Source organism: Homo sapiens, chromosome 21 (assembly GCF_000001405.40).
Source record: "Homo sapiens chromosome 21, GRCh38.p14 Primary Assembly".
NCBI classification, from domain to species: domain Eukaryota; kingdom Metazoa; phylum Chordata; class Mammalia; order Primates; family Hominidae; genus Homo; species Homo sapiens.
Genome location: NC_000021.9, coordinates 33,479,716 through 33,488,054, shown reverse-complemented (window position 1 = coordinate 33,488,054; position 8,339 = coordinate 33,479,716). Strand labels below are relative to the sequence as shown.

At 47.5% G+C, this 8,339-nt stretch overlaps 1 protein-coding gene and 1 pseudogene across 5 annotated transcripts in view; both read left to right on the top strand.

Annotated features, from left to right (window-relative positions):
* Nucleotides 5,793-6,516, top strand: RPS5P3 (RPS5 pseudogene 3; annotated as a pseudogene).
* Nucleotides 8,081-8,339, top strand: part of TMEM50B (transmembrane protein 50B) — a 47,489-nt gene continuing 47,230 nt past the window's right edge. For all 5 annotated transcript variants that reach the window (NR_040016.2, XM_011529746.3, XM_047440989.1 and 2 more), the window contains exon 1: nt 8,081-8,217. The gene's annotated coding sequence lies outside the window, so the exon portion shown is untranslated. The remainder of the gene's footprint in view (nt 8,218-8,339) is intronic.

Sequence of the window (8,339 nt, the reverse complement as noted above, 5' to 3'; positions counted from 1 at the left end):
AAGAAAAGAAAATAACTGAAACTCCTTTTTTTTTGAGACGGCGTCTCGCTCTGTCACCCAGGCTGGAGTGCAATGGCACAATCTAGGCTCACTGCAACCTCTGCTTCCCAGGTTCAAGTGATTATCCTGCCTCAGACTCCCGAATAGCTGGGATTATAGGCACACACCACCATACCCGGCTATTTTTGTATTTTGTTTTCTTTTTTTTTGAGACAGAGTCTCACTCTGTCGCCCAGGCTGGAGTGCAGTGGCGCGATCTCGGCTCACTGCAAGCTCCACCTCCTGGGTTCACGCCATTCTCCAGCCTCAGCCTCCTGAGTAGCTGGGATTACAGGCGCCTGCCACCACGCCCAGCTAATTTTTTGTATTTTTAGTAGAGACGGGGTTTCACTGTGTTAGCCAGGATGGTCTTGATCTCCTGACCTCGTGATCCGCCCGCCTCGGCCTCCCAAAGTGCTGGGATTACAGGTGTGAGCCACCGCGCCTGGCCTATTTTTGTATTTTTTGTAGAGACGGGGTTTCACCATGTTGGCCAGGATGGTCTCAAACCCCTGACCTCATGATCCACCTGCCTTGGCCTCCCAAAGTGCTGGGATTACGGGCTTGAGCCACCATGCCCGGCCTAATTTTTATATTTTTAATAGAGATGGGGTTTCACCATGTTGGCCAGGATGGTCTCGATCTCTTGACCTCATGATCCGCCCCCCTTGGCCTCCCAAAGTGCTGGGATTACAGGCGTGAGCCACCATGCCTGGCCAAAAATAACTGAAACTTCTAAAGAAAATAATTTAGTTCATTCTAGTGTTAAAATGTTGGTCATCCAGTGAAATGAGCTAGGATCAGGTTTCTGACTTAGGAATCATACATGAATTCCAAAAGTTTTGGTGCAGTTTTGAGCTGTAATAACTAACTTAAAAGCAGTGACTGTTGCCATTTTCAAACATAGGTACTTAAACAACAGGGAAACCGAAAAATATGTTATCAAAAGTCACAAAACTGAAGTGTTATGAAATTTAACCAATTAAACCTCCAGATGACTTTTTTTTTTAAACGAGCTTGCTGGATTTATATTCCTGAACTTATTAAGGCTCAAAACCGTTCCAAGACTTTTGGGACACCCTCCATATGGGTGGAAATATTAAGATCAGAAAATTAGCCTACTGGAATTACTGTACTTTTCTTTTTATGAGGGCCTTCTCTGTGGGTACTGAATGAAAAACACACCAAACATCCAGATTCTACTTTTTCCTGTCTAACTTGATGGTTTATTGGCTGCAGAAATCAGTGAAGCTAGTTGATTTAGCAATTCTAGAAAAAAACTCCAGTGTCCGCTTTTTTTTTTTTTTTTGAGATGGAGTTTCACTCTTGTTGCCCAGGCTGGAGTGCAATGGTGCAATCTTGGCTCACTGCAACCTCCGCCTCCTGGGTTCAAGTGATTCTCCTACCTCAGCCTCCCAAGTAGCTGGGATTAGAGGTGCCCGTCACCACGCCCAGCCAATTTTTATTTTTTTTAGTAGAGATGGGGTTTCACCATTTTGGCCAGGCTGGTCTCGAACTCCTGACTTCAGGTGATCCACCTGCCTTAACCTCCCAAAGTGCTGGGATTACAGGCGCGAGCCACTGTGCCTGGTCCAGTGGCCACTTTGTTTTTTTGAAATGGAGTTTTGCTGTTGTTGCCCAGGCTGGAGTGCAGTGTTTCCTTCTTTAATCCAGAGTGCTGTGTTACAGAAGTGGTTCAGAAGTGAGGGACTCACCACCTGCATTTTGGAAGAAAGTGTTATTTTGTAAAATGTGTGATAGTTAAAACAACAAACAAAACTACACCTTCAAAAAGAAATTTTTGGCCTTTAGCTTAGATGCTGCAGCATTAATTGGCATAATATGTGATTATAATTTATTGAATGATTTGTCATTTGGTTTCTACAATGATAGTATCACTGTAAATAAAATTGTGAACAGTATGGAATGTTGCTTAATAAGAGCTATAGTTCCAAAAACATTTTAGAAGGCAGTAATTTTGTGACTCTTGTTAAAAGTGGGAATTCGAGGCCGGGCGCGGTGGCTCATGCCTGTAATCCCAGCACTTGGGGAGGCCCAGGCGGGCGGATCATGAGGTCAGGAGATTGAGACCATCCTGGCTAACACGGTGAAACCCTGTCTCTACTAAAAATACAAAAAAATTTAGCTGAGCATGGCGGTGTGCGCCTGTAGTCCCAGCTGCTGGGGAGGCTGAGGCAGCAGAATGGCACGAACCCAGGAGGTGGAGCTTGCAGTGAGCCGAGATCGCGCCACTGCACTCCAGCCTGGGTGACAGAGCAAGACTCCGTCTTAAAAAAAAAAAAAAAGTGGGAATTAGACGTAAGAGGCTTAACTGCATTACAGCAACATAGATGAACAAAACCATTTTCCATATTGGTCAATGAGAAGGTAAGGTTACCAGAAAATGTCAGTAAATTTTTAATTTCAGCACAGTGCACTTTATGTTTGTAAATGTTGTCTATGTTAATAAAGTTACTATAATAATTATTCAATGTCCCTTTGTTATAATGGTAATAATATTTTGGGCTAGGCATCTAATTTTTTTTTTTTTGTAATGGAGTTTTGCTCTTGTTGCCCAGGCTGGAGTGCAATGGCGCAATCTCGGCTCACTGCAAACTTTGCCTAGTGGGTTCAAGAGATTCTCCTGCCCCAGCCTCCCAAGTAGCTGGGATTACAGGCATGTGCCACCACGTCCGGCTAATTTTGTATTTTTAGTAGAGACAGGGTTTCTCCATGTTGGTCAGGCTCGTCTCAAACTCCTGACCTCAGGTGATCCACCCGCCTCAGCCTCCCAAAGTGCTGAGATTACAGGCATGAGCCACCGCCCCCAGCCCTGAATGCATTTTTTTAAAAAAATCTTTTTGATTGGCCAGGCACGGTGGTTCATGCCTGTAATCCCAACATTTTGAGAGACCAAGGCAGGAGGATTGCTTGAGCCCAGGAGTTTGAGACCAGCCAGAGAAACATGGTGAAACTCTGTCTCTACCAAAAACAACAACAACAACAACAACAAATCAGGTGTGGTAGCACATTCCTGTAGTCCCAGCTACTTGGGAGCCTGAGGTGGGAGGATCGCTTGAGCCCAGGAGGTCAAGGCTGCAGTGAGCCATGATCACACCACTGCACTCCAGCCTGGGCAAGAGTAAGACCCTCTCTCAAAAAAAATGAAAAACAAATCTTCCAGGCTGGAGTGCAGTGGCACGATCTTGGCTCACTGTAACCTCTGTACCCCGGGTTCAAACGATTCTCCTGCCTCAGCTTCCTGAGTAGCTGGGACTACAACCACCTGCCACCACACCTGGCTAATTTTTGTATTTTTAGTAGAGACAGAATTTCACCATGTTGGTCAGGCTGGTCTCGAACTCCTGACGTCGTGGTCCGCCCTCCTCGTCCTCCCAAAGTGTTGGGATTATAGGGGTGAGCCACCGCGCCCAGCTCAGGTAATGTTTTTATAGCAGTGTGAAAATGGACTAATATAGTACCCTGGCATAAGAGTTTTGAGGAGACATAATCATTCAGACCATAACACCCATGATAACTCTGATCCTCCAGTTCCATGAGCCACAGAATCCTACTCATTATTTAAGCCAGTTTGAGATGTTCTTTTCTGTTACTTATAACTGAAAGAGACCAACTGACAAATGTATACACTGTCTTCAGAGTCTAGATGTGGAAAGAAGTATTTCCTCTTCTGCTGGAGTCAAATTATCTTCCAGGCCTTGGTTTTTTGTTTCCCATCTAAAGATCAGTCTTTTCTCCTAAATGACTGACACTGAATAGCCATCCTTTCAGGAGAGAGTCCATTTCAGACCCACAGGAAGTATGACCTTAGTCTCAAGACACCTTTATCAAAATACAACAGTTCTAATAGCTGCCTAAGACTTATTCAGATGAATCTTTTTGTTATACAACCACATAAGCATATGGAGAAAGAGAATATTTTGGGAAGTACCTGTTTATGCAACATGTTTTAGCCTTTCAGATAGTTCCTGTGGTACACATTTGGCTTGTACACTCAAAAGATGGACGTGAATACCACTCTATCAGAGTAAGTTCATGAAGCAGCCCTGAGAGAGAATAAACTAGAACCCATGGGGCGTAGCGTGAAGGACAGCCTGGATTGTTCCTTTCTCTTAATAGGCTTGTACCAACTGGACTGCATTTTCTGTCTAGTTTTAGGTGAAGTAGATCTTTCAGAACCTGTCCTGGCCCAAACCTGAAAATGGTCCTGAAGTCACAATGTCTCCAGAATCTAGGAGTGCCTCTCTGAAGTGCTTGGGTAACAGGAATTTAACAAAACATATGCTTCAGTAGCTACATGGTAGAATACCAATTGAATTAGAAAATGTGTGGTTTTTTTTTTTTTTTTTTGAGACTTAGTCTCACTCTGTCGCCCAGGCTGGAGTGCAGTGGTGCAATCTCGGCTCACTGCAAGCTCTGACTCCCAGATTCAAGCGATTCTCCTGCTTCAGCCTCTTGAGTAGCTGCGATTACAGGTGAGCGCCACCATGCCTGGCTAATTTTTGTATTTTTAGTAGAGACGGGGTTTCACCATGTTTGCCAGGCTGGTCTCGAATGCCTGACCTCATGGTCTGTCCGCCTCGGCCTCCCAAAGTGCTGGGATTACAGGCTTGAGCCACCGCACCCGGCCATGTGTGGTTTTTTTTTTTAAAGGCTGATTTACAATTCTACTAAATACTTAAATCAGTACATTTGGAATTGACAGCGAAATGTTGACATCAGCAACTTAATCCCCGTATCTTTCAAATGCCTTTTTTTTTTTTTTTTTTGAGACGGAGTCTTGTTCTGTCGCCCAGGCTGGAGTGCAGTGGCGTGATCTTGGCTCACTGCAACCTCTGCCTCTCGGATTCAAGTGATTCTCCTGCCTCAGCCTCCTGAGTAGTTGGGATTACAGGCATGTATCACCATGCCCAGCTAATTGTTTTTTCTTTTTAGTTGAGACGGAATTTTACCATGTTGACCAGGCTGATCTGGAACTCCTGACCTCAGGTGATCCAACCGCCTCTGGTTCCCAAAGTGCTGGGATTACAGGTGTGAGGCACTGTGCTCGGCCAAATGCCCATATTTTTGAAAGCATAACTAAATACATGTTTGACTCTTTGTGGAATAGAGGTTTATAGACTGAGAGAAGCAAATTGTGCTATGGTTTGAATGTGTCCCCAAAAAGTTCATGTGTTTGAAACTTAATTACTATTGTAATCGTGTTGAGAGGTAGAACCTTGAAGATGTGATTGGGTCATGAGGGCTCCACCCTCACGAATGGATTAATGCTGTTATTGTGGGAGTGGGTTAGTTATCTTGGGATTGGGCTCTTGGTAAAAGGATAGCGTCAGCCTGATTTTCTCCTTCTGTCTTGTATGCTCGTTGGCCCCTGTCTGTCTTGTTTTCTACCATGGGATGACACAGCATGAAAATCCTTACAAGATGCCAGCACCATGCTCTTGGAGTTCCCGGCTTCCAGAACTGTGGACCAAATAAAACACTATTGTTTATAAATTGCCTGTTCTGTGTTATTCTGTTATAGCAGTAGAAAAGGACTTCAGACAAGCTGCATTAACATAAGTCTCCACTACTAAAAAAGCAACTTAAAGCATGTGCATCCCAACGGTAGGTGAACAGTAATGTCTTCCTTCATATATGGAGGTAATCATTTTTCTACAGATATTATTCTGTAACAAAGCTTAAAAAAATCCTGGGAAACCTTAAAATATTAGTACTTTAAAAAGCAATGGCCTGTCTGTGCCAGGGCAGCATGTGGTCCATGCTGATCGACAGAGACACTCAGGCTGTGCCCTCAGGATGACCGAGTGGGAGACAGCAGCACCAGCAGTGGCAGAGACCCCTTGACATCAAGCTCTCTGGGAAGTGGAGCACTGATGATATGCAGATCAATGGCATTTCCCTGCAGGATTACACTGCAGTGAAGGAGAAGTATGCCAAGTACCTGCCTCACAGTGCTGGGTGGTATGCAGCCAAATGCTTCCGCAAAGCTCAGTGCCCCATTGTGGAGCCCCTCACTAACTCCATGATGATGCACGGCTGCAACAACAGCAACAAGCTCATGATCATGTGCATCATCAAGCATGCCTTCGATTTCATCCACCTGCTCACAGGCGAGAACCCTCTCCAGGTCCTGGTGAACGCCATCATCAACAGTGGTCCCTGGGAGGACTCCACATGCATTGGGCGAGCAGGGACTGTGAGACAACAGGCTGTGGACATGTCCCCACTGCACTGTGTGAATCAGGTCGTCTGGCTGCTGTGCACAGGCACTCGTGAGGCTGCCTTCTGGAACATCAAGACCATTGCTGAGTGCCTGGCGGATGAGCTCATCAATGCCACCAAGGCCTCCTCCAGCTCCTATGCCATCAACAAGAAGGATGAGCTGGAGTGTGGGGACAAGTCCAACCGCTGATTTTCCTGGCTGCTGCCTAATAAACCAGTCTGCCCTTTGGGATGCCTCCCCCACCCCCCCAAAAAAAGTGATGAGATTTGGAAACTTCTAATTGTCCCCTAATATCTAGTTTTCCTTCCTTAGTACTGAAACCCCATTTTCCAGCCTTCTTTGCAATTTGGTGTAGTCAAGTGACTATTTTACTAGCAGAATGAAAACAAAAATGGTACATGCAACCCCCGCCCCTTTCAAAAGGTTCTTAAAGAGAGGAGAGTGTTCCCTTCTGTATCCTCTCTTCTGGTGGAATGCCAGCATTGTGACATATTTCAAAAGTAAATTATTCAGCACATATTTATTGAACACCTAGATCCTAGCCCATGTATAAGAGCTATAGGAGAACATTATCCAGGATGGCATTTTTGGTGATAATTCCATGATACAAAACCTTTTACTTCATTATGCCTCAAGTAAAATGCTTTTTAGATTTCCACTGATAATAACTCTACTTGGCTGGGCACAGTGGCCCACGCTTGTAATCCCAGCATTTTGGGAGGCAGAGGCGGGTGGATCACCTGAGGTCAGGAGTTCAGGATCAGCCAGGTGAAATCCCGTCTCTACTAAAAATACACAAATTAGCCAAGCATGGTGGTGCGCACCTGTAATCCCAGCTACTCGGAAGGCTGAGGTGGGAGGATTGATTGAGCGTGGGAGGTAAGAGGCTGCAGTGAGCCAAGATCACACCACTGCACTCCACCCTGGACAACAGAGCAAGACCCTGTCTCAAAACAAACAAACAAACCACCCAAAAAACAAAGCTCGACTTTCCCCCAAACAACTAAATGGTTATAGGCATTTCTGTAGGAAATTTAGACGGGGCTTCCAAACGCTGTTAAAGTTATGTTGAAAATCCAAGAGGCTGAAAGATATCTGACTATAAGAAAGACGAAAAAAAAAAAAAAAGACAAAAATCTACGTGAATAGACGGGAGAGCGCCGAGCGAAATCAGAAGACTAGTTGTATTGTGAGGATCACCTCGGGTAACCAGCACTCGCTGGGTAGCCCTGGTTTACTAACTTCAACTTTCTGGGGCTCCATTTCTGAATTGAGGGGATTAGAAAAAGGCATCTCTAAAGACCCTCCGTTCCCGAGAACCCTCCCGGAGCACCTTCCCTACTCTGGGCAGCTCGCAGACAGACAAGACTGATCGGCCATAGGCGAAGGGAAACCCTGGTCCCCCGGGTCTCGAGCTCCGTCCGCACGTAATCTCACGGTACTGCACTTCAAGTCAGCGTGCAGAAACGCAGCAGTGGGAGCCCGGCGGCGGCCGCCCACCGGCAGGGGACAGGAGAGGCCCGTCCCGCTCTGCCCGGAACCGTAGATAGCTGGGTCTGAACTCCGGCTCCGGGAGGCCTGCAGAGCAGCCCACCCCGTCCCTCGGAGCTCGCCCTGCCCCCGGCCGGCCACTTGCTGCACGCCGATTGGTCGCGAGGAGCGCCCGGCGTCCCGCTGCGCCCAGCCAACGCCCTCTCCCCGCCCCCTCGCGTCCCGCCCCGCCCCCGGCCGGCCACTTGCTGCGCTCCGATTGGTCGCTGCGGTGCACACGGCGCCTCGCCCCGCCTCACCGGCGCTCTATCCTCGCGTCTGCTCCCAGCTCCGGGCTCCCGGGGCTGAGGTGGAGCCGCGGGACGCCGGCAGGGTTGTGGCGCAGCAGTCTCCTTCCTGCGCGCGCGCCTGAAGTCGGCGTGGGCGTTTGAGGAAGCTGGGTGAGTCCTGTCTGTGGGTCTCCGGCGCCAGGCAACCGTAGAGGGCTCGCGCCCGCCGCCCGCGCGTAAGGAGGCTCCCTCGTCGGGCCCTGTCCGGCCCGGCCTTCTGGGGGCTGTGGGGC